The sequence below is a fragment of the Homo sapiens genome, chromosome 4 (assembly GCF_000001405.40).
Source record: "Homo sapiens chromosome 4, GRCh38.p14 Primary Assembly".
Classification (NCBI taxonomy): domain Eukaryota; kingdom Metazoa; phylum Chordata; class Mammalia; order Primates; family Hominidae; genus Homo; species Homo sapiens.
The window spans coordinates 85,600,403-85,628,105 of NC_000004.12; the positions used below are offsets into that span (position 1 = coordinate 85,600,403).

Here is a 27,703-nt window from a genome sequence, read left to right on the forward strand (position 1 = left end):
GGTACAGAATGGATTTCAGTAGAGCATGAAAGGAGCAGGAATACTAGTTATGAAAGCCATTGTGTTCTCCACGTGAGAAGAGGGAGATGGGGCATTCACCTTTCAAAGAAAAAGATCTAGAAGACACAGCACATTCAAATTTTTCTATGGAATAAAGTGTGTATTAATGTGCCTTAGAGAAATCATGTATCTTCCTTTGGAAGGCTAAAAGCCCACAAAATATTTTAGATCACACATGGCAAAGTATTTTCATAATCCAGGAATTTCTGTGCTAAGCTACTCACTTGAAGAACTTGTGCTGCTTCTCTTTCATGATGTGGTTTTCATAAATATGCTTTTCATGCAAGGAATACGTAATATGCTACGCTTATTCAACTCTTTTAGCAACTCCCATGAAGACAAAACAAAACAAAAAATTCACAGGGCAATGTATTCAAATTGATGCATGCCTTGAAAAACGTTTTTCGTTTTGCTTTTTGGTCATTTTTTATTGAAAGAATGTAAAAATGCACGCTCAAATCAGACTTTCTTTTCCAGAAGTCTCATTGGCAAGTGATGGCTAAAAAGGATGAATATGATCTTAGAGTGACTTTTACAGGACAAAAGAATATACTCAGTTTTGTCAAAACATAGCAGTATTTTAATGACTTGTTACATATTTTTACTTTATTCATTTTTGATTAATTATTCTTAACATTCTAAAGAGACTTTTATTTCACTCTTTTATTCACGTCTATATTTTTAATTTATTGTATTGCTTTCCATTTCTCAACTGGAATGTAACTACCATGGAAGTGAAATTATAACTGTTCTGTGCAAGGTTGTAATCTTAGGAACTTAGAGTTCTTTCTGTATAATAGGTGCTCAATAAATATTTGTTAAATAAGTAAATGAATGAATGAACAAACACTTGAAAATAACTGTGGTATTTTGAATACATCAAAAGCTGTTTAGTAGAGAACTATTTTCCTGGTATTATATGCAACAACTTCATCTTCTTCCCTTTAACTAACTTTATATTGAAATAGGGATTTTCAACTCAGTACTATTGGAATTAGAGGCTGGGCAATTATTTGCTATTGGTGTGTCCTGTGCGTTGTAGGGTGTCTGGCAGCATCCCTGGCTTCTACGCGCTAGATGCTTGGCAACCCCCAGTTGTAACAACCAAAAATCTCTCCAGATGTTGCCAAATTCTCCCAGTTGAGAACCACTGTATTAAATATTTTCACAGTATGCAACTAATGATGTTAAAAATACCTAGATTGTGAGCTATTGTATACTGAATTTTGGCATTTTCTATATGGAATGTTTCATTCAAATATTTTAAATTAATTAATTAAAATATATTATAGTATATTTTATCAAGTAGGTAAACATAAAAGGAAATAACTTCCCTGTGATGATTTTTCCACTTGGAAAAGCTATTTCGAGGGTTTGCAGGTCCTCCAAAACTATTTTCAATAAGACTACTGTCCTTTGCTAGCCACAAAATATTAGCATATGAATCCAACTTTCCACAGTGGGAGCCTAGAAATTTCCTAGGAGGCAAAACTGGTTCAACTGCAGTCATTATGCAGAACTATTACTTGCATAGGAAAAAGGACAGAGAGCAGAGATTAGTGAACAGCCCACAAAGGCCCAGTGTTTTTTCTAAGACTTACGGAAGATAGCCAGAGACTTTCTGCGTGATAGAGCTTTTAGGGAGATGTTTACATTGCTATTTCCAGAATTTTATCTTTTTTAATTGATCAAAGGAAACCATAGTACATAGATAAAACTCTGCATGGAACATGAAAAAGAAAGCAGTATTTGAAGGGAAAAATTTGTCATATCTCACGTAATTTCCCAAGCTAGATCTGATAATCAAAGCTAATGACCACACAGATTGCAATTAATCTCAGCATTCTGATTAAAACGCAAAAATTTAAGAGCAGATTTGGGTGGCAGTTGAGAGAAGGTGATTTCAAAGCTCATAGAGTGATTATTCACTCCTCCACCAACTATTTTGTTGTGCTCAGGCAAGTGTGTTGATTGGATAAATCAATAAAGCATAATTCTGTTTTTGGGAGGGAGCTGTAGACATATCATTGGTGCTCCATAGACACATTTTCACATAAAAAATGTAATGATTTTGATATTCCCTCCTCTCCACCTATTGCAATACCACCTTTTAAACTCAGGTAATTCATATATTAGTCTATATTCAAATTATTTTATTAATCTGATTCCAAATTAAGAGGTTAAGAATGAAAGGAAATAGAATAGTGATGGATGCATAAGTCCAGAATTATGTAATGCATTTTCTCATACTTAATTCTCAGTGGTTTTAATTCAGCTGAGTTGGAGAATCAAACAGTGGCCTATCTCTTCCTACCATGGCAATTTCTGAATGTTTTTCTCTTGGCGTCCTATTCTAAATTCCTCAGTTCTTGATGAAAAGCAATTTCAGTTTGGATTTTAGAGAAAAATCTTGCAATGTGCATTTTAAGGTGACACTGAGAGATTTATTTTTGATTAATCATGATTACCTCACTGCATTAACTTGCTCTATTTTAATGTCTAATATGTTAGGGATTATTTTATCTTTCAAGCTAATAAAAATGCACCCTCAGTAACATGAGCAAAATGCTGCTTTTTAAAATGTACCAGCCAATTTATTTTGTTCTGCCTTTTGGTACTGTGAGGAAATAAACTGCTTAATCATAGTAAACAAATAAATATGTTTCATTTTTAGAAGAAACTAAGGTTAGATTTTTACATAATTAACATAGCCTTTTGTCCTCTATTAATTTGGGGGATAAGAAAAATCACATAATAAATTGTCTTTGGTGAAGATTATTTATTTGAAGTGCTGACTATTTAGAAGCATATGGAGGTGGTTGACCACCTTGAAAATTCACCTGTAGTGGGACTGTTATTCTTTTTCCTATCTGCTGCCGACAGTTGCAGCTTAGCTGTGACGCACTTACCATCCTTGATACCTCCCTTCATATAAGAGCTTACTAACTTTATTATTTAATGACATTATAGGTATAAAAATGTTTCTTAAGTTTTCCAAAGCATCCTTGTAAAGAAAATTTAAATACTTAACATCTTTATTTTTAATACATAGATATTAGATGTGTAAAGGAAACTAGTTAAGGCCTAATTTAAGGGAATCAGAATGCTCCTAGGCTTCTCACTCCTCAGCTGACAGTCAAACTGAAACCAAAATTGTCATCAGTAGTACAATGTGGGTGACATATATTAGAAAACTTGATGTAAATATAGCAGAAGATTTATTCATTCATTCATTCTCTCATTTCATATTTCAGTTTCTCATATGTTTCTAGTACTGTGCTAAGCGCTAGTGATACATTTATGAGATTGCACTAATGGTTCATTAATGTGTCTGCACAAAGTCAGGTAATTAGGTTACTGAAGGATGATGGACTAGGCTCTCTGAATCAATTAAGCGTTGATTTTTTTTTTAATCTTTGAAGTCTAAGTTTTTATTAGTACAGCAGCATATCTTATTATTTGACTAAGTTGCTGCCTGGTAATGAGCAAAAAGAATACTCATTCACCTTCCCCAGTATTTTTAGAATTGCTAAAAATGTTTGCAAGTCCTGAAAAGGCAGGTCAGTAATTATCATGTCCTTTGGGCAGAATGCAGTCTGTAGAACAAGATGTTGCCCTAGACTGCAAAAACTGATGACGTCAAAACTGGACTGGAATTTGAGATTTCCTGTTTTTCAGTAACAGGCTTAGATAACTCATTAGGCTTGAATGAGATGCTTTGAACTGTGGTGACTACAGTAATGTTCCCCTCTGCATGTTGAAGTGACAAGTGCCTCCTTGGCCTATTGCTGATCCTGCCTGCTGTAGAAATCTCCAGCTGTCCAATATTTGGAAGAAAACTGTGAGTATATCTTTAACAAGATCTAAATGAGACAAATCACTAAAGAATTATCCATGTTCAATAAACAAATGAAAAATCCCTTTATTTAATAGTAAGTAAACTTGAAATTACATGATTGAAATTAACTTTGGTAACCAGCCATAGGGCACTTGGCAAGATAAATTCTATTTGTATATTGAAACACTAAACAGCAGCCATTAAAATGTTCTTCTACATGAATAATTAATAAGGAAAAATGTTCATGATATTTGTAGTTAAAAAGATAGATGTATCGTCTCACTTTAGAATTTATTTTTTTTGAGATGGGGTCTCACTCTGTCACCCAGGCTGCAGTGCAGTGTGGCATGATCTCAGCTCACTGCAACCCCCACCTCCTGGGTTCAAGCTATTCTCCTGCCTCAGCCTACCAAGTAGCTGGGATTATAGGTGTGCACCACTACACCCAGCTAATTTTTTGTATTTTTAGTAGAAACGGGGTTTCACCATGTTGGTCAGGTGGGTCTTGAACTCCTGATCTGCCCACATTGGCCTCCCAAAGTGCTGGGATTACAGGTTTGCACCACTACACCCAGCTAATTTTTTGTATTTTTAGTAGAAACGGGGTTTCACCATGTTGGTCAGGTTGGTCTTGAACTCCTGATCTGCCCGCATTGGCCTCCCAAAGTGCTGGGATTACAGGCATAAGCCACAGCACTAGGCCTCACTTTAGAATGTTAATTGTACTTATATCTATGGCTATGAACATTTACATATACACACAAATAACCAAAGCTTTAGAGAGAATGTATTCACTCTAAAGTGTTAATGGTTAATTATGTGTATTAGAATGTAAGTGATTTTTCTTTTTTGTGTCTAGATTTTTTATGTTTTCTGTAATGAACACATTATTTTTGTCATAAAATAAAGTTACAGAAAATGAGAGATGACTTTTGTCTCTCAAATTGGAAAATGTATTTTTAATCATAATATATTGACATAGCTTTAGGGAAATATATATATAGTTAGAGTTTAATCTAATATACTCTTTCCAGATGGGAAGTCCACAATGTACCTCAAAACTCAAGTGTCTGTTCTCTTTGACCTAGCAATTCCAAAAAAGTGGATTTATTCTAAGGAAATAATCAGAGAAGTATACAAATATGTTCTTACATGATGTTAACATGGTTTTGTTTATAAGTAAATAGGAATAATAAAATATCTTCATATATGGGAATGATTAAATAGATTATCTTGCATTCATACAACAAGAGCTATTATGTAGTCCTTTAAACTTATGTAAGAATGCTCAATGAAATGGAAAATGCTTATGAGTCATTGTTAAATTTTTAAAAAGCTGATACTATACATTATGTACAGTAAACTCTCACCTATTTAAAATATATTATACACGTGTATCGTGGAAATGAAGATATACAGGGGAATGTTTATAGATTTTTTCTGTTCAATGTGATTACATATAGGAGATTTAAGTTTTCTTCTGTGTGTTTTTCTGTGCATTTCTCAATTTCTACAAAGAATATGTGTTGTTTAGCAACAACAAAAAAGTACATCTCAGTCTGAAAAGGTTACAGGGAACAATAGGGTTGGAGGTGTGTTCAGTAATCAGCGTTTATGGAGATTGTGATGAATTCCTGCAAGAATTATACTTATTTATGGTAGCTGACCTTTTCTGATTCTCTTTGGAACCCCCTCAGGAACCATCTTCATCTCCCTTCTTCCCACTGGAGTTATTTCAAAGACTTTCAGCAAGTGGAAAATTACAACATTTATGTCATGGGTGGTATTCTCAGTTATTCAGATTCAGATGCAAAAAAATGTTTTGAATACCTACTATGTGCCAAACACCTTATGAAATATCTTCAGTCTTTGGGGCATCAGACCTCAAAGGGGCATTTAGGATTTCCATAGATAAAGGAAAAGATAGGCCAGGCCGGGCGCGGTGGCTCACGCCTGTAATCCCAGCACTTTGGAAGGCCAAGGCGGGCAGATCATGAGGTCATGAGATCGAGACCATCCTGGCTAACACAGCGAAACCCTGTCTCTACTAAAATACAAAAAAATTGACTGGGCGTGGTTGCGGGTGCCTGTAGTCCCAGCTACTCGGGAGGCTGAGGCAGGAGAATGGCGTGAACTCAGGATGGGGAGCTTGTAGTGAGCCGAGATCGGGCCACTGCACTCCAGCCTGGGCGACAGAGCGAGACTCCATTTCAAAAAAAAAAAAGGAAAAGAAAAAGGATAAGATAAAGATTTTTTAAGATCGAAGTATAGTCTAGAATCTACTACCAATTAGCTTTGTAACTTACTTGAACAAGTTACACTCTTCTGAGCCCTTATATTTACTCATTTATTCAATATTTATTCATTCAGCAAATATTGGGTAAGTATGAACTAACTGACAGGCACTATTCCAAGCCCCAGGGATAGACCAGTGAACAACTCAAAGTCACTCTTCTCACTGTAGTCAAGTGAGACTGACATTATATAAATACATAAATGTGTAATGTTCTAGATAGAGTTAAGTGCTATGGTGAAAACTTAAACCAGCAAGGGAATAAGAAAGGCTGGAGCCAGGGAAGAAAATAATTGCTGCTTTATGAAGAATTGCCAGAGAAAGACTGATCAGATGACATTTAAGAAAAGACTTGAAGAGTTTGAGAGACAATAATAATACAGACCTTACTTCCTTCATGGATTGCTAGAACTTTATGAAAGGGCTTTGCAAATGTGGAAGGGTATCTGCAGTTCTCTCAAGTTTGATTTGTCTTTGGTGAGAGAGGGCCTGAGTTTACTTCCCTCTATCTAAGGACATTCTCCCTTTGGAGATGGAGTAGATGTTATCTATAGAAACACATGGATGAGAATAATAGAGTCTGTATCAGGGCCAGAATGGTCAGATGATTTCCATTCTGCCTAAACTGAATTAATGAGATATAGAGATCAACATTCGCTATAGAGAGCTATGTATTCTGCATCAAATGTCCTTTAAGTTTCTTTTATTTTAGCCACAAAGATTTTCCAAAATACCAAGGATCGTCAAAAAGAAAGAAAGAGAGAGAGAGGGAGGGAGGGAGGAACGGAGGGAGGAAGGGAGAGAGAGAAAGAGAGAAAGAGAGAAAAAGAGAGAAAGAGAAAGAAAACCACAATCTTACACTTCACTGGTATCAGGTCACCAGTTGTCACTAAAAAAATATCATGCAGGAATCATCTCCGTACCCCTTCCCTAATATCATTAATACATTTCATTCATTTGAATCTGTCCCAGATATTTCTCTGTGCATTTAGCTATATTCACATATATCACAGCCACTCTGGGATGAATTTTAAATCATAAAGAAGGAAATGTTTCTGAAAACTGTCAAGCATTATTTTCTTTTCTTTTCTTTTTTTTTTTTTTAAGAAACTTGGCACGGCGTAGCTATGGCTCCAACACCTGGGCTAAATGAGGAAGTATCAAAAATACTTCCTCATTTAGCCCAGGTGTTGGAGCCATAGCTACGCCGTGCCAACTTTCTCAGGGTTTAGCCCCTTGGTCTTGGGCTTTCCCTCAGGTGTTGATGGGGCTCAAGTGAGACAGAATATGAAAGTGCATGATGCCTGGTGCTGGCTGCAGACCAACGAAAATCTCTGGGCCTTGGTGTTTATACAGGTGTGCCTCTAACTGTCTGTGGGTCTGCAGTTATAAAACAGAAGCCACAAAATGTGCCAGAGGTAGGGGAAAGCTAAGGAGCGAATGAAAATTTCTAAACTCTTTAAAGATTTCTTCTATTTAAGAGCCTTCTTTGTCTTTAACATAAATTCTAATATGTTGTTTATAATGAATGAGCAGAAAGTGTCTTATTCAAGTGTATGCTCAAAAATATGAATTGAATTGAAAAAGGCAGAAAAGAGAGAAAAGAGGAAAAGAATAAAACAGGGAGAGGAGACTGTTGTAATATATAAGACTTTCAGACATAAATACGGTATGCTAATATGGAATTTTTTTAAGGATGCCAATTACCTAATGCATCTCTATTTTTGTCAATAAAGGCAACAAGTTGAATGTTACCTGTTAGGGCAACCAGCCAAACAGTTTCCATGCTGACCACTACTTCTTTGTGGTCCACTGACATTATAAATATAGCCTAGTCTCTGTGAGACTTTATTGTATTTATTATTTACATATAAACATAAACAATAGTGTTCATCTCTGTGGCCCTGTGCTTCATATAGTACCTGGTTGATAGTACTCAATGTTTTTTTGTTTGGTTGTTTTTTTTTTTTTTTTTTTTTTTTTGAGACAGAGACTTGCTCTGTCGCCAGGCTGGAGTACAATGGCATGATCTCAGCTCACTGCAACCTCCACCTTCCTAGTTCAAGCAATTCCCCTGCCTCAGCCTCCTGAGTAGCAGGGATTATAGGTGCGTGCCACCCTGCCCAGCTAATTTTTTTGTATTTTTAGTAGATACGGGGTTTCACCATGTTGGCCAGACTGGTCTCGAACTCCTGACCTCAGGCAATCTGCACGCCTCAGCCTCCCAAAGTGTTGGGATTACAGGCATAAGCCACCATGCCCAGCCAGTACTCAATGTTTTTAAATATGAATTTATTAATATAATTAAACCCGAGGACTTTCTTTAGTTAGAGAGATAGCACAGGCTGCTTAGGTTTGAATCCTGGCTCTCTACCTACTCCCTGTGTGACCTTCAACTTCTTAGCCTTTTTGTGACTCTGATTCCTCATCTGTAAAACAAGAGTAAGAGTATTACCTCCAGCAAAGGATGGTTGTGATGATTCAATACATTATGTTTCTAAAATGCTTAGTATCTAGTAAAGTGCTAGGATAAATTTGCTATTATTTAATAAGGATTGAATAAATATGCTCTGAAATGGGACCCCTATAAAATTATCTATTTTGCTAAATGTAAACTGAACAATAGAAATAGAATATATGGGGTATTGCCATCAACTGAATTTTCTCTTCATTGAGAAATTAGTGAACATCATTAGCCAGGAGGAGCAATAGTGTTGTTTCCGTTTTATTCTGGAATGTATGCCTCCATTACACTGTCCTCGTCCAATTGATCCTCCTTTATGTACCCCCAGAATATTCTGGAATAAGAGTATTACTCTGTTTCAGAACTGAGTTTTTATCACTGCTTTTGAAAATGTTTCAAGTTCACTATCAGTTGAGTAATTACTGATTTTTAAGACAATTTTATTTTCCTTTAATATGTTTTGCATAATACATATAAAATTTTTATTAATTAATCTGGAATGACTTCAGTTGTTTTCTAACACAAGGGCTTCTTTGTTTTTTGTGCCTTCTCTGCTCTTCCCATTATCACAATTGGGAAGGCAACTCCATGCATTCCTTCATGACTAAGTTAGATTTTTTTACAGTTTTAGATCATTTTTAATTGACACATAATAATTGCACATATTAATGGGACACAGTGTGATGTCTTAATGGATATATACATTGTATAATGATTAAATCAGCAGGGTATCTTGCATATCCATCATGTCAAGCATTTATCATTTCTTTGTTGTAAAAATATTCAAAATTCTTTCTCATAGTTACTTTGAAATATATGATGAAATACTTTGATGACCTGAAAAAGAGATCCTTCATTGCTTAGCATTATGGCACTTCCAGTTTAAATGCTATTAAACTGCACCTCATTAGATTACCCTATTTTTAACTATTGTACAACTGATATTTCTAGATTATGTGATGATTGGGCATAAGACAATTTAATGAACTTGTTTATTTGTGTCAGGTCCCTGAGGGTGTAGACTAAGTCTGAGCCAACTTCTTATTGCTCAGGTCTAGCAGAGCGTTTGGCATTAGTATGTTGAAATGAAGAGGTAATGTAGAATACCATGGTATGAAGCACATATTCCTTAGGAAGCACCCTTGGGAAGCGGAGGCAGGCGGATCACGAGGTCAGGAGATTGAGACCATCCTGGCTAACACGGTGAAACCTTGTCTCTACTAAAAATCCAAAAAAATTAGCCAGGTGTGGTGGCGGACACCTGTAGTCCCAGCTACTTGGGAGGCTGAGGCGGGAGAATGGCGTGAACCTGGGAGGTGGAGCTTTCAGTGAGCCGAGATCCTGCCACTGCACTCCAGCCTGGGCCACAGAGTGAGGAGTGAGACTCCATCTACAAAAAAAAAAAAAAAAAAAAAAAAAAAAAAAGAAAGCACCCTTATTGAGCCAGATGAATACATTTTAATAGATTTGACTCAGAATCACCAACAGAAATAGACAAAATGCAAAGGGTCTGAAATGGGTGAAGCTGAGTTGAAACTATATCAGAAATTATCTCAAGGTGGTTTCTAGCGTCGTGGGGAAAAAGTGTCACACTGATTTCTGACTTGTGGTGGTTTTTGCTACCATGGTGAACAAGTGTTTCCAGTTTCAAAAGTCTTGTGTTTGCTAGTAACTCACAAAGTTTCCATTCACATTCACCAATAGCCTTTTACTGTCTCTTCATTGTCTTTCCAGGCCTCCTACAGTAGTGCCTCAATTTTGGTGGCTCTTACATTTTTACTTGAAGAGTTAGGCTGCATATTGAAGTAAGTTAGATCTGGATTTGTCGAGGCTCTTGGTGTGGTTTTCTACAGATATGAAAGAAATAAAGAAAAACTGCCTTTTGGTATCAATTTATTCATCTAAAAATCATGATCATAATAGAAGAGAGGATGTTTATTGTTAAAGAAAATTGGAAATAGGAAAACATGAATCCATTTTGAAAAAGAGCCTGATTTCATGGTAAATAATAAAAAATAAGTTTTATTAGGATTTTTATCTTAAAAACATAGAGTTATACACATAACTATTTCATCTAATATGAAACAAGTTATAATTGCAGCTATGTGCTACTGCTACATGTGAAACTGGGAAGCATCTTGGAAGGGGGCCTAATGTTATAGTTTAGTGGATAAGTGAATATTTTATATTATAAAAAAACCTTTGCTTCCTAATGTGACCTGGTAAATGTAGGGAGTTGAACAATAAACTTCCAAATAAATAGACTAACCTAAAGTTATTGTGTGGATAAACTAATATGCATGGAACACCTTTGTCATAGTGTTGGATAAATGACAGTCACTGCATAATATTAAAGCATGTATCTCCACTAGATCCCATGACAATTATCCACTTAAGAAAAATGACAGCTTTAAAAAAGTGTCTGAATTTTTTAGGGATTTAGAAATTGTGTTTAGCACTTTCTTTTTTAAAAAATTTTCAGCTTATGGAAAAGTTTGGATTTATTAGTCAATACTACAAAAATCACTAACTCTTTACCTGCACTGTCCGACAGTAGTCCCTGTCCTCACCACTTCCCCTCTGTCCATGAACCCGATCCCTTCCTTTCATGAGGCAAATGATTCAGGTACATAAGCCTGTGTTAGAAAATGTGGAGAAAGACTGGAAATTAAGATGATCCTTTGAGTCTATGGCAAATGTCTGATGAAAATATGTACTGCTTGCTTGTTGAAACTTGATGGACTAGGCAAGAAAAATGTGAGTACATCTTGTTTTCAAACTCTAACCTGTCTTTCTGTGGCAAACAAGTTGTTTCCTTCTTCATTCAGATATTTAATTATAATCCCCTACTTGACCTGTGCTTTTCTCCAGGTTCTGTATAGTACCAGTGGGTATGTTGTAATTGACTGCATGCACTGGCAAGGAATCCTTTAAAAATAACTGGTGCAAATAATTAGGGTAATATTTCTTCTTTGGTGGCTAGTCAGGCAAAGATGTGGATAAATTGGGTTCTCTTTCATTACATTACACACACACACACACACACACACACACACACACACACAGACCAGTGTATAGCTGCCGGGCGCGGTGGCTCATGCCTGTAATCCCAGCACTTTGGGAGGCCGAGGCGGGTGGATCACAAAGTCAGGAGATTGAGACCAACCTGGCTAACATGGTGAAACCCCGTCTCTACTAAAAATACAAAAATTAGCTGGGCGTGGTGGTGGGCGCCTGTAGTCCCAGCTACTCGGGAGGCTGAGGCAGGAGAATGGCGTGAACCTAGGAGTTCACTGCAGAGCTGGCAGTGAGCCGAGTGCACTCCACTCGGCGTGGAGTGAGCCTCACTGCACTCCAGCCTGGGCAACAGAGCAAGACTCTGTTTCAAAAAAAAAAGACCAATGTATAGCAAAAGCATCCAAGTAGCAAAATGCGTAATTTCATATTTAAATATTATCTTATTCTTCACCCATGAATAAATAATCTAAAGCTGTATACTAAAAGGAATGCTTTTTATTCATTTCTATTTAATATTATTTTTAGTTTTAATTATGAAATGTTTCAAAAACTCAGAAGAATAAACCATTTTAGAAGATATTTAGAGGATACCCATATACCCACCACTCACATTTAATGAATTAACATTTTGCCATATTTTTTCATACAGTATTTTTGTAAAGAAAGAAAATGTTACAGATACACAGATAACAGCTAAAGCCCTATCCTTTCCATTCCTTTTTTTTTTTTTTTTTTTTTTGTGGCAATCTCGCTGTGTCGTCACCCAGGCTGCTGGTGCAGTGGCACAATCATGGCTCACTGCAGCCACAACCTCCTGGACTCAAGCAATTCACCCACCTCAGCCTTCTGAGTAGCTGCGACCACAGATACACTACCACACCCAGCTAATTTTTGTATTTTTTTGTAGAAGCAGGGTTTCGCCATGTTGCCCAGGCTGGTCTTGAACTCCTGGGCTCAAGCAATCTGCCCATCTCAACCTCCCAAAGTGCTGGGATTACATGTGTGAGCCACCGCACTCAGTCTCCCTTCCTTTTTAAGTTACAGTTTACTATCCTGAAGTTGGTGTGTGCAAATGTATACCTTTGCACAGCTTTGCATATATGTATATCCATAAACAACACTAAGTTTATGTTTTAAAAGTTTAATAAATATCACAGTTTATGACTTCTTTTGTAGTTTGCTTTCATCACTCAGCATTATATTTCTGAATTTTATCCATGTTGATTAATTTAGGACGTACTTCGTTCATTTTAACTGCTATATAATATTCCATTGCATGAACCCTGTCCTGTTATAAAGGAAAGTCTTAAATTTATTAAATGCCTATTAGGTGTCAGACATTATAATACGTATATATACATATGTACATCATATATATGCTTTGATTTTTGCCTCCAGGTTATCCATTAATTTGATGTTTTGCTGACTGGCAAGGCTAAGAATGAGAAACAATTTTATTTTCCTGCACAGCAAAGCCCAACATTTCTGGGATCGCCATATGTCCTCTTAATTCTATTTGCAAACCAGTCAGTTCTTTGCTGAGTTTGTCCATTTTTTGGGGAATATTACCAAACACCTAGCAGAAACCTATTCACATTTTTAATATACTAGCCAGGAACCTGCTTGCCTAAGTTTACAAGTTTACTAAGTATATTTTCTGTCTCCAAATTATCACAGGCAGCATTTATTTTAACCAAACATATTACTAATACATTAAATGGATCTTCATTTTTCTAGCCTCCTAGAAAGGAGCTTCATGGTCACCACCTGATCCCAAAGCCAGTGATACATATATTAGGTTTTTGGCACAGTAGTACCTCACGTCTCAGTACCAGTTATCAGAACTAGTTATCCTCACTGTTTTTCTTGTGAGAAATTGAGGAGATATCCATTTGGAGCAAAAGGGAATGAAGACAGAAAAGACAAATGGGCCAAGCTTAGAATAAGAAATCTGAATTTTCATTTTCTTTTTATTATGTTTTTAAGCATGCAATTCTTTTCTTTAGAAAACTTTATTGGCAAAAAATGATGATCAAATTGACACAAACATGAAGAACTCTGTCATCACTGTTCATAAAACAGTCTCCAAGAAGAAAACAGAAATTAATCTTATGCCCCGAAATGTCTTCTTTATTCTCCTGAAATAGAGTGATAGACACTATGGAGATGGCCTGGCATCTGATCTCTACCATTTACCAGTTGTATGACATTGGGCATCTTGTGTAATTTCTCTGGGCTTAGTTTATTTGTACAATAGGGGAAAGGATACCTACTTCCTGAAGTTATTGTGAGAATTAAATTTTAATAAATATTTATATATATTTAGTGCTTAGTAGGGAAAGAAGTCAGAGATCGCATCTAGAGGAATTGCCTTGGGTATCCACATGTACCTCCCATACAGAAAAGAACATAATTTCCTATGTATTATAATAGCTGCTTTAAGCTTTACATTTGTTGACTCTTAAAAGTTTTTATGAATATTTGTTGTTAGAATTTAGAGTCTGAAAGAAAGCTATTGAAAAAAATATTTTAATTATTGACCATATTTCCTATCATTGATTAGGCTGGATTTAAATGGCTCTGGTGAACCCAGCCTAATGATTTTAGCCATCTTAATTAGTAATCAGTTGGAATTAATAAATGATTTATGTAATGGCCCAGGGTGAATTTTCAATGCCTTAAAATACTTAAATATCACATTAATTCCTTTTGATAATATCATATATTAGGATAGTAATCATCCTATATAACCCTGACATTATTAAAATTGCTCATAGATCCTGTGATTAAACTAGGCCATCAGAGTCACACGAATATTTATTTATAAATTGTCCTCCTTCTTCATCATTACATTGTTTTTATTGAAATGTAATTTGACTTGGTTTCATGTGCCTATATCAAGAAAGGTAAGAATAAGTCTGTGAAAACTAACTTGTCACTGTATTTAATATAAATATAATGTCTGACATTACAGTTTTTCTCAAGATGATCCATAGAAGAAATTTCTCTTCAATTTCATTTTAAAAGGGTGTGTTTTTCCTTTATATCAGGTGTATATTTGCTGTATAAATACAGTAAATTTTCCAAACATTTATCTCTTGATTTGGGTTGAACACACAAGATTTTGTGCATGCAGTTTGTATACTAACCTTCTTCTATCTTCCTTTTTGTTTTTCTACCCTACTTTTCTTTCACCTAAGATTTATTACATATATTGTATTTATTTTACTTTGCTATATTCTTTATCTGTAAGTCATGTCTTAGTTTAAACCCCTCCTAAAACAACAAAAGATAAAATTAATTTTATCAGTGATTAAAGTCACTGAGAGACTTCACTGATATTCAGCTATAATGAATGTAATTTAATATTCAGCTTACCTGTGCGGAAATAAATAAGTCTCACCAGGGTACCATTTTCTAAGGGTTGCTTCTCAACTGGCTTATACATGCTGGATGCCAGAATCTTTTCCACAATTCTCAGTTGACTTGAGACATGTATGGTAGCTCATATATGTCTTTAAAATTGCTGGATGTTATTTTTGGTAAGAAAAATATTAATTGAGAATATATAACTCTATGATATATAATTAATTATGTTGTAATCATGAAATTATTAATCAAATATAAGCTCACAGAGAGCAGACCAGTGGTTATACAGACTGTAGTATGAATTGTGAATCCTTCCCACAAGGGATAAGTGGAAATCTTAGTTTAAGAAAGCTAGTTTTTCAATCAATAAGTTTTCAATCAATAAGCATTTCTAACTCATGTAAACATTGGGGAAGTGGGTGTAAACTCTGCAAAAGCATGTGGTCACTAGAGTATTGTTTATATTATTTATCCTGAAAAATTAATTAGTATTGTGTCTATTCTAAGACAACATCTTTGGCTGGTTTTGAACAAAGGCCAGCTTGTTTGTGTATTTATATTTCTCTGATGCTGGAAGATGGCATATTTTAATTATATGCCTCAAAGCAGATCAGACACTGGAGAACTTAGAGTTTTAATAAGCACAAGCTGCTACCTTCATGGGAAGAGAAACCTTTATGCCTTTTCCGCATCATTGGTTTCTTCGTTTCATTTTCCAGCCTGAAAACCAAAGGCATGAAACTATATTAATCCAGTAGCTGAGAGGCATATTTAAAATAAAGGATTTGAAGTTATTTGAGCAATAGCTTTCCTGGAATTTCCAATTAGTTGATATTGTGATCAGAATGACTGACAGGCTGTTAAGTAAAGCCTACAAAGAATTTGTCAATTCTAGCTTTACTAAAATTATTATTTTTGCAATGTTTGACATTTGAAAGAAAACATTAATTTTAATAACTTATGATGATCTTATGACTCTCTTATTTATAATATTTTAGACACTTCTAATATTTAAAGCCTGTCAATATTCTAATATGATCTTGTTTGTCTTCATTTTGTATAAATTATGAGGTCTAGAAAAATAGAAGTTACAGAGGTATTATTTGTATTTGTGTGTGTGTGTATATTTTTATTTCTTATTCCTAGTTTTACAAAGTCTCTCTCCTTTGCCTGTTTGTATTTTGCTTCATTTTATTTTATTAAGATGGAGTCTCATTCTGTCGCGCAGGCTGGAGTGCAGTGGCACGATCTCAGCTCACTGGAACCTGCACTTCCCAGATACAAGCTATTCTTGTGCCCCAGCCTCCCAAGTAGCTGGGATTACAGGGGTGCGCCACCATGCCTGGCTAATTTTTGTATTTTTAGTAGAGATGGGGTTTCACCATGTTGACCAGGCTGGTCTTGAACTCCTGACCTTGGATGATCCGCCCACCTTGGCCTCCCAAAGTCATGGGATTACAGACGTGAGCCGGCATGCCCAGCGGCTTCCTTTTATAAATAAAGTTTTTTCTTTAGATCTCAGATTATAAGAAATAAACATTTGCATTTATTTGCATAACCAAAGTAGTAGGAAAGCATAACAGTTTTCATGTATCTATATATTTAACATATATTCATAATATATATGTTATAAATATGTATTATATATATTTATAAATATATATTTAAATATATATTTAAATATATGTACTTGTATAGCTTTATGTTAAATATATTTAAATGTTAAATATATCTATAATTCATAAATATGTATATGGATTGCAGATATGTTGAATATATCTATATATTTGTATTTAAATACCTATATATTTATATCTATATTAATATAGATATATTGATATACTTAACATTTTTAAATGTTCAAAAGAGTGTACATTGAAATATGTCCTTCCTACTTCTGTTACTCAGCCAACAGTTGCCCTCCCAGCAAAAACACCTGTTACTACTTACTTACGTATCCTTCCGGAGATGTTCAGTGCACACGCAATCATGCACATATATTGTTCCTCTTTGTTATAAAGCAGCTACACACTATATATTTCATTCTTTAGTTTGTTTTTATTTCCAGTAAAAATATTTTTGAATTTGTATATAGTTATTGATATAGACATACAGTTATATACCAATTTAGCCTATATTCATGGGCATTTAGATTTCCAATCTTCTGTTACTATTTGATTAGTCCCTATTGATGGGGATTTAGATTTCCAATACTGTGCTACTACAAATGATATTTCTGCAAAATTTTGTACATGTATAACATATCAGTAAGATAAATTCCTGAGAGTGGAAAATAATTTTTAATTATGGTAGATATTTGTGAATTGTTTCCTATGGAAATTTTATCAATTTACATTGCCACTGGCAATGTATAAGAGTATCTTTTTTGCTTCCAGCTTTATTGATGTATAGTTGAGAAACAAAAATTCTATATTTTATACTTAAAGTGTACAATGTGGTCTTTTGATATTTGTATACACTGTGAAGTGATTACCACTATCAAGCTAATTAATACATCCACCTCCTCACGTAGACTTTGTGTGTGTATATGTAGTAAGAACATTTAAGATCTCCTCTCTGCAAATTTCAAGTGTGTAATACATTATTATTTACTATAGTATCCATGTTGTACATTAAATCTCCAGGACTTATTCATCCTACTTAAGTGAAACTTTGTACCCCTTGACCAACATCTCCCCATTTCCTGTCTCACCCAGCCCCTGGCAGTTGCCCTACTATTCTCTACTTCTGTGACTTCGACTTCTTTAGATTTTTCACATATAGATGAGATCATGTAGTATTGTCTTACTGTTCCTAGAGTATCTCACTTAGGGTCAGGTTCATTCATGTTGTGGCAATTTACATTAGTTCTCTCTTTTTAAAGGCTGAGTAATATTGCATTGTATATATTTACCACATTTTCTTTATTCATTCATCTGTTGATGGTCACAAGTTGATTCCATATCCTGGCTATTGTGAATAATGCTGCTGTGAACATGAGAGTGCAGATATTTATTCAAGATTACTCATTTCATTTCCATTGGATATGTACCCCAAAGTGAGTTGCTGGATCATATAGTAGTTCTATTTTTTAGTTTTTTGAGGAACTCCCATACTGTTTCCCATAATGGCTGTAATTTACATTTTCACCAAGTGTGTAAGTGTTCCTTTTTCTTCACATCCTCACCAACACTAGTAATCTTCTGTCTTTTTGATAAAAGCCATTCTAACTGGGGTGAGATGATATCTCATTGTAGTTTTGATTTGCACTTCCCTGATGACAAGTGATGTTGAGCACTTTTCATATATTTGTTGGCCATTTTGTTTGTCTTCCTATGTGAAATGTCTATTCAAGTTTTTACCCGTTTTTAATTGAGTAATTTGTTTTCTTTCTTTGAGTTGTTTGAATTTCTTATATGTTTTTGATATTAACGCCTTATCAGATATAGTTAGCAAATATTTTCTGCCATTCTGTAGATTGTCTTGTTGATTGTTTCCTTTGCAGTACAGAAGCTTTTTGATTTGATGTAATCACATTTGTCTATTTTAGCTTCCCTGCCTGTGCTTTTGATGTCATATCTAAAAAGTTTTTGTCAAACCAATGTCATGGAGCTTTTCCCCTATGTTTTCTTCTAGTGGTTTTACAGTTTCAGGTCTTGCATTTAAACCTTTAATTCATTTTGAGTTAATTTTTGTATATAGTGTAAGATGCGAGTATAATTAAATTCCTCTGCTTTCAGATATTTGCTTTTCCAAAAAACATTTATTTAAGAGACTGTCCTTTTCCCACTGTGTGTGCTTGTCATCTTTGTGAAATACCAATTGACTATAAATGCATCCATTTATTTCTGGGCTCCCTATTTTGTTCCATTGGTCTATATGTCTGTTTTTATGCTGATACCGTGCTGTTTTGATTGCTCTATATTCGTAGTTTATTTTGTGATTAGGTAGTACGCTACATCTAGCTTGGTTCTTTTTGCTCAAGATTGCTTTGGCTATTTGGGGTCTTCTATTATTCCTTATAAATTTTAGGACTTTTTTTCTATTTCTGTAAAAAAAAAAAGTCATTGAAATTTTGATAGGAATTGCTTTGGCTCTATGGATTGCTTTGGTAGTAAGGACATTTAATTCTGCCAATCCACAAACACAGAATATCTTTCCATTTATTCGTGTCATCTTCAACTTATTTCATCAGTGTTTTACAGTTTTCAGGATACAGATATTTCACCTCCTTGGTTAAATTTATTCCTAAGAATTTTTTATGCAATCGTAAATGGGATTCCTTCCTTGATTTCTTTTTTCCGGTAGTTTATTGTTAGTGTATAGAAACACTATTGATTTTTGTATGTTGATTTTGTATCCTGCAACTTACGAAATTCATTTATTAGTTGTAATATCTAATTTGTTGAGAGTTTTTATTATCATGAAATGATCTTATTTTTTTTCAAATGCCTTATCTGCATCTATTGAAATGATCATATAATTTTAATACTTCATTCTGTTAATATATTTATTACATTTATTGTTTTGCATACTTCAGACCATCCTTGAATGCCAGGTAGAAATCCCACTTGACCTGATGTATGATCTTTTTAATGTATGATTGATTTTCACTTAATAGTACTTTGTTGTGAATTTTTGCATCTATGTTCATCAGAAATATTGGATTTTTATTCTTTACGTGTATCCTTTTCTGGCTTTGGTATCAGGATAATCCTGGCCTCATAATATGAGTTTGGAAGTACTTCTCCTCTTCAGTTTTTCTGAAAGAGTTTCAGGATTGGTATTAGTTTTTCTTTAAACATTTGGTAGAATTTTGCAGTGAAGCCATCAGTTTCTGGGATTTTCTTTAATGGAAGAATTTATTACTGATTAAATCTCTTTACTCATTATTGATCTGTTCAGCTTTTCTATTTCTTCATGATTCAGTCTTGATAGGTTGTATGTTCCCGGCAATTCATCCATTTCTTCTAGGTTATCCATTTTTTTGGTGTATAATTGTTCATAGTTGTCTTTTATGATCGTTTGTAGTTTTGTGGTTTCGGTTGTAATGTAGTTTCTTTTATTTATACCTTTGAGTGTTTGCTCTTTTTTTCTTAATCAAATCTTTCTAGCCAAAGATTTGTCAATTTTGCTGATTTTTCAGCAAAACAACTCTTAGTTTCATTGATCTTTTCTACTTTTTTCTTATCTCTATTTCATTTATTTCTGCTCTGATCATTATTATTTCCTATCTTCTACAAACTTTGGGCTTAAGTTGTTTTTCTTTTTCTAGTTCATTAAGGTACAATCTTAGGTTACTTATTTGAGATGTTTCTTCTTTTTTATTTTTATTTTTATTTTTAAGTTTTAGATTCAAGGGGTACATATGCAAGTTTGTTACATGGGTGTATTGTATAATGCTAGCGTTTGACTTCTATTGAACTTACCACTCAGATGGTGAGCATAGTACCCAATAGGTAGTTTTTCAACCCTTTCCCTGAATTCTTTGTTTCTCCTTTTGGAGTCCCTAGTATCTATTGTTTTCATCTTTATGTCTGTGTGTACCCAATATTTAGCTCCCACTTGTAAGTGGGAACATGCAGTATTTGGTTTTGTGTTTCTGCATTAATTCACTTAAGACATTGGTTTCTACATCTATGTTACTGCAAAGGACCTGATTTCATTCTTTTTTTGTGGCTGTGTAGTATTGCATGTTGTCTATATACCACATATTCTTCATCCGATCCACCACTGATAGGCACCTAGGTTGACTCTGCTATTGTGAATAGTTCTGTGATAAACATACTAGTACAAGTGTCTTTTGGGGAATTACTTCTTTTTCTTTGGGTAGATACCCAGTAATGAAATTGCTGGGTCAAAGAGTATATCTATTTTTAGTTCCTTGAGGAGTTTCTAAACTGCCTTCCACAATGGCTGAAATAATTTACATTCCCACCAATAGTGTATAAATGTTCTTTTTTCTTCACTTCTTTGCCAACATCTGTTATATTTTGACTTTTTAATAACAGCCATTTTGACTGATGGGAGATGGTATCTCATTGTTTTAATTAGCATTTCTCTGATTATTAATAATATTGAGCATTTTTTCATATGTTTGTTGGCCACTTCTATGTTTTCTTTTGAGAAGTGTCTGTTCACATCCTTTGCCTACTTTTTAATGGAGTTATTTTTTTTTCTTGTTGATTTATTTAGGTTCTTTATAGATTATGGATCTAAGTCCTTCATCAGATTTATAGTTTGAAAATATTTTCTCCCATTCTGTAGGTTATCTTTCTACTCTGTTGACAGTTTATTCTGCTGTGCGCAAGCTCCTTAGTTTAATTAGGTTATAATTGTCAACTTTCATTTTTGTTGCATTTGCTTTTCAGGACTTAGTCATAAATTCTTTGCCTAGGCCAATGTCCAAAATAGTTTTTCCTACGAATTCTTTAAGGATTCTTATAATTTTAGGTCTTACATTTTAGTCATTAATCAATCTTGAGTTAATTTTTGTATATGGTGAGAAATAGGAGTCCAGTTTTATTTGTAGGTGTTTATTGCTTCTCGCTTAGAACTTCTTTTGCTGTATCCCATAAATTTTGGTTTCTTGTTTCTCCTTTTTTGCTTGTCTTAAGATATTTTCAAATTTCCATTTTAATTTCTTTTTTAAAAATTTTATTATTATTATACTTTAAGTTTTAGGGTGCATGTGCACAACATGCAGGTTTGTTACATATGTATATATGGTCCATGTTGGTGTGCTGCACCCACTAACTTGTCATTTAGCATTAGGTATATCTCCTAATGCTATCCCTCCCCCCTCCCCCCACCCCAAACAGTCCCCGGTGTGTGATGTTCCCCTTCCTGTGTCCATGTGTTCTCATTGTTCAGTTCCCACCTATGAGTGAGAACATGCGGTGTTTGGTTTTTTGTCCTTGCGATAGTTTGCTGAGAATGATGGTTTCCAGTTTCATCCATGTCCCTGCAAAGGACATGAACTCATCATTTTTTGTGGCTGCATGGTATTCCATGGTATATATGTGCCACATTTTCTTAATCCAGTCTATCGTTGTTGGACATTTAGGTTGGTTCCAAGTCTTTGCTATTGTGAATAGTGCTGCTATAAACATACGTGTGCATGTGTCTTTATAGCAGCATGATTTATAGTCCTTTGGGTATATACCCAGTAATGGGATGGCTGGGTTAAATGGTATTTCTAGTTCTAGATCCCTGAGGAATCGCCACACTGTCTTCCACAATGGTTGAACTAGTTTACAGTCCCAACAACAGTGTAAAAGTGTTCCTATTTCTCCACATCCTCTCCAGCACCTATTGTTTCCTGACTTTTTAATGATCGCCATTCTAACTGGTGTGAGATGATATCTCATTGTGGTTTTGATTTGCATTTTTCTGATGGCCAGTGATGATGAGCATTTTTTCATGTGTTTTTTGGCTGCATAAATGTCTTCTTTTGAGAAGTGTCTGTTCATATCCTTTGCCCACTTTTTGATGGGGTTGTTTGTTTTTTTCTTGTAAATTTGTTTGAGTTCATTGTAGATTCTGGATATTAGCCCTTTGTCAGATGAGTGGGTTGCAAAGATTTTCTCCCATTCTGTAGGTTGCCTGTTCACTCTCATGTAGTTTCTTTTGCTGTGCAGAAGCTCTTTAGTTTAATTAGATCCCATTTGTCAATTTTGGCTTCTGTTGCCGTTGCTTTTGGTGTTTTAGACACGAAGTCCTTGCCCATGCCTATGTCCTGAATGGTAATGCCTAGGTTTTCTTCTAGGGTTTTTATGGTTTTAGGTCTAACATGTAAGTCTTTAATCCATCTTGAATTAATTTTTGTATAAGGTGTAAGGAAGGGATCCAGTTTCAGCTTTCTACATATGGCTAGCCAGTTTTCCCAGCACCATTTATTAAGTAGGGAATCCTTTCCCCATTGCTTGTTTTTGTCAGGTTTGTCAAAGATCAGATAGTGGTAGATACATGGCATTATTTCTGAGGGCTCTGTTCTGTTCCATTGGTCTATATCTCTGTTTTGGTACTATGCTGTTTTGGTTACTATAGCCTTGTAGTATAGTTTGAAGTCAGGTAGGGTGATGCCTCCAGCTTTGTTCTTTTGGCTTGGGATTGACTTTGTGATGCGGGCTCTTTTTTGGTTCCATATGAACTTTAAAGTAGTTTTTTCCAATTCTGTGAAGAAAGTCATTGGTAGCTTGATGGGGATGGCATTGAATCTATAAATTACCATGGGCAGTATGGCCATTTTCACGATATTGATTCTTCCTACCCATGAGCATGGAATGTTCTTCCATTTGTTTGTATCTTCTTTTATTTCATTGAGCAGTGGTTTGTAGTTCTCCTTGAAGAGGTCCTTCACATCCTTTGTAAGTTGGATTCCTAGGTATTTTATTCTCTTTGAAGCAATTGTGAATGGGAGTTCACTCATGATTTGGCTCTCTGTCTGTTATTGGTGTATAAGAATGCTTGTGATTTTTGCACAGTGATTTTGTATCCTGAGACTTTGCTGAAGTTGCTTATCAGCTTAAGGAGATTTTGGGCTGAGACAATGGGGTTTTCTAGATATACAATCATATCATCTGCAAACAGGGACAATTTGACTTCCTTTTTCCTAATTGAATACCCTTTATTTCCTTCTCCTGAGTGATTGCCCTGGTAAGAACTTCCAACACTATGTTGAATAGGAGTGGTGAGAGAGGGCATCCCTGTCTTGTGCCCGTTTTCAAAGGAATGCTTCCAGTTTTTGCCCATTCAGTATGATATTGGCTGTGGGTTTGTCATAGATAGCTCTTATTATTTTGAGATATGTCCCATCAATACCTAATTTTTTGGGAGTTTTTAGCATGAAGCGTTGTTGAATTTTGTCAAAGGCCTTTTCTGCATCTATTGAGATAATCATGTGGTTTTTATCTTTGGTTCTGTTTATATGCTGGATTACATTTATTGATTTGTGTATGTTGAACCAGCCTTGCATCCCAGGGATGAAGCCCACTTGATTATGGTGGATAAGCTTTTTGATGTGCTGCTGGATTCGGTTTGCCAGTATTTTATTGAGGATTTTTGTATCAATGTTCATCAAGGATATTGGTCTAAAATTCTCTTTTTTGGTTGTGTCTCTGCCCAGCTTTGGTATCAGGATGATGCTGGCCTCATAAAATGAGTTATGGAGGATTCCCTCTTTTTCTATTGATTGGAACATTTTCAGAAGGAATGGTACCAGCTCCTCTTTGTACCTCTGGTAGAATTCAGTGGTCCTGGACTTTTTTTGGTTGGTAAGCTATTGATTATTGCCACAATTTCAGAGCCTGTTATTGGTCTATTCAGGGATTCACCTTCTTCCTGGTTTAGTCTTTGGAGGATGTATGTGTTGAGGAATTTATCCATTTCTTCTAGATTTTCTAGTTTATTTGCATAGAGGTGTTTGCAGTATTCTCTGATCGTAGTTTGTATTTCTGTGGGATCGTGGTGATATCCCCTTTCTCATTTTTTATTGTGTCTATTTGATTCTTCTCTCTTTTCTTCTTTATTAGTCTTGCTAGCAGTCTATCAATTTTGTTGATCTTTTCAAAAAACCAGCTCCTGAATTCATTAATTTTTTGAAGGGTTTTTTGTGTCCTATTTCCTTCAGTTCTGCTCTGATCTTAGTTATTTCTTGCCTTCTGCTAGCTTTTGAATGTGTTTGCTCTTGCTTTTCTAGTTCTTTTAATTGTGATGTTAGGGTGTCAGTTTTAGATCTTTCCTGCTTTCTCTTGTGGGCATTTAGTGCTATAAATTTCCCTCTACATACTGCTTTGAATGTGTCCCAGAGATTCTGGTACGTTGTGTCTTTGTTCTCGTTGGTTTCAAAGAACATCATTATTTCTGCCTTCATTTCATTACGTACCTAGTAGTCATTCAGGAGCAGGTTGTTCAGTTTCCATGTAGTTGAGCGGTTTTGAGTGAGTTTCTTAATCCTGAGCTCTAGTTTGATTGCACTGTTGTCTGAGAGACAGTTTGTTATAATTTCTGTTCTTTTACATTTGCTGAGGAGAGTTTTACTTCCAACTATGTGGTCAATTTTGGAGTAGGTGTGGTGTGGAGCTGAAAAGAATGTATATTCTGTTGATTTAGGGTGGACAGTTCTGTAGATGTCTATTAGGTCTGCTTGGTGCAGAGCTGAGTTCAATTCCTGGATATCCTTGTTAACTTTTTTCTTGTTGATCTGTCTAATGTTGACAGTGGAGTGTTAAAATCTCCCATTATTATTCTGTGGGAGTCTAAGTCTCTTTGTAGGTCACTAAGGACTTGCTTTATGAATCTGGGTGCTCCTGTATTGGGTGCATATATATTTAGGATAGTTAGCTCTTCTTATTAATTGATCCCTTTACCATTATGTAATGGCCTTCTTTGTCTCTTTTTATCTTTGTTGGTTTAAAGTCTGTTTTATCAGAGACTAGGATTGCAACCCCTGCCTTTTTTTGTTTTCTATTTGCTTGGTAGATCTTCCTCCATCCCTTTATTTTGAGCCTATGTGTGTCTCTGCACGTGAGATGGGTTTCCTGAATACAGCACACTGATGGGTCTTGACTCTTTATCCAATTTGCCAGTCTGTGTCTTTTAATTGGAACATTTAGTCCATTTACATTTAAAGTTAATATTGTGATGTGTGAATTTGATCCTGTCATTATGATGTTAGCTGGTTATTTTGCTCATTAGTTGATGCAGTTTCTTCCTAGCCTTGATGGTCTTTACAATTTGGCATGTTTTTGCAGTGGCTGTTACTGGTTTTTCCTTTCCATGTTTAGTGCTTCCTTCAGGAGCTCTTTTAGGGCAGGCCTGGTGGTGACAAAATCTCTCAGCATTTGCTTGTCTGTAAAGGATTTTATTTCTCCTTCACTTATGAAGCTTAGTTTGGCTGGATATGAAATTCTGGGTTGAAAATTCTTTTCTTTAAGAATGTTGATTATTGGTCCCCACTCTCTTCTGGCTGATAGAGTTTCTGTCGAGAGATCTGCTGTTAGTCTGATGGGCTTCCCTTTGTGGATAACCCGACCTTTCTCTCTGGCTGCCCTGCCCTTAACATTTTTACCTTCATTTCAACTTTGGTGAATCTGACAATTATGTGTCTTGGAGTTGCTCTTCTCGAGGAGTAATTTTGTGGCATTCTCTGTATTTCCTGAATCTGAATGTTGGCCTGCCTTGCTATATTGGGGAAGTTCTCCTGGATAATATCCTGCAGAGTGTTTTCCAACTTGGTTCCATTCTCCCCATCACTTTCAGGTACACCAATCAGACGTAGATTTGGTCTTTTCACATAGTCCCATATTTCTTGGAGGCTTTGTTGGTTTCTTTTTATTCTTTTTTCTCTAAACTTCTCTTCTCACTTCATTTCATTCTTTTTGTCTTCCATCACTGATACTCTTTCTTCTAGTTGATCGCATCGGCTACTGAGGCTTCTGCATTTGTCATGTAGCTCTCGTGCCTTGGTTTTCAGCTCCATCAGGTCCTTTATGGACTTCTCTGCATTGGTTATTCTAGTTATCCATTCGTCTAATTTTTTTCAAAGCTTTTAACTTCTTTGCCATTGGTTCGAATTTCCTCCTGTAGCTTGGAGTAGTTTGATCATCTGAAGCCTTCTTCTCTCAACTTGTCAGTCATTCTCTTTCCAGCTTTGTTCTATTGCTGGTGAGGAGCTGCATTCCTTTGGAGGAGGAGAGGCCTTCTGATTTTTAGAGTTTTGAGTTTTTCTGCTCTGTTTTTTCCCCATCTTTGTGGTTTTATCTACCTTTGGTCTTTGATGATGGTGACGTACAGATGGGTTTTTGGTGTGAATGTCCTTTCTTTTTGTTAGTTTTCCTTCTAACAGACAGGACCCTCAGCTGCAGGTCTGTTGGAGTTTTCTAGAGGTCCACTCCAGACCCTGTTTGCCTGGGTATCATTAGCGGTGGCTGCAGAACATTGTATATTGGTGAACCTCAAATGCTGTTGCCTGATCATTCCTCTGGAAGTTTTGTCTCAGAGGAGTACCCGGCCGTGTGAGGTGTCAGTCTGCACCTACTGGTTGGTGCCTCCCAGTTAGGCTCCTCAGTGGTCAGGGAGCCACTTGAGGAGGCAGTCTGCCTGTTCTCAGATCTCAAGCTGCGTGCTGGGAGAACCACTACTCTCTTCAAAGCTGTCAGAGAGGGACATTTAAGTCTGCAGAGGTTACTGCTGTCTTTTTGTCTGTGCCCTGCCCCCAGAAGTGGAGCCTACAGACGCAGGCAGGCCTCCTTGAGCTGTGGTGGGCTCCACCCAGTTCCAGCTTCCCCGGCTGCTCTGTTTACCTAATCAAACAACTAACTGGGCCATGGCAGGTGCCCTTTCCCCAGCCTGGCTGCCGCCTTGCAGTTTGATCTTGGACTGCTGTGCTAGCAATGAGTGAGACTCCGTGGGCGTAGGACCCTCCGAGCCAGGTGCGGGATATAATCTCCTGGTGTGCCGTTTTTTAAGCCCATTGGAAAAGCGCAGTATTAGGGTGGGAGTGACCCGATTTTCCAGGTGCCGTCTATCACCCCTGTCTTTGACTAGGAAAGGGAATTCGCTGACCCCTTGCGCTTCCCAGGTGAGGTGATGCCTCGCCCTGCTTCGGCTTGCACATGGTGTGCCGCACCCACTTTCCTGCACCTACTGTCTGGCACTC

General features: G+C 35.9%; 1 protein-coding gene across 1 annotated transcript in view, besides 1 other annotated feature; it reads left to right on the plus strand.

Moving 5' to 3' along the window:
* Positions 1 to 27,703, plus strand: part of ARHGAP24 (Rho GTPase activating protein 24) — a 527,517-nt gene that overhangs the window by 125,253 nt on the left and 374,561 nt on the right. The gene's annotated exons all lie outside the window — the stretch shown is intronic.
* Positions 10,299 to 10,358: an enhancer, noted in NCBI's record as "active region_21693". NCBI's record gives its function as "activates an Ori minimal core promoter by ATAC-STARR-seq in GM12878 lymphoblastoid cells {active_cell/tissue: GM12878}" and the evidence as "EXISTENCE:reporter gene assay evidence [ECO:0000049][PMID:35858748]".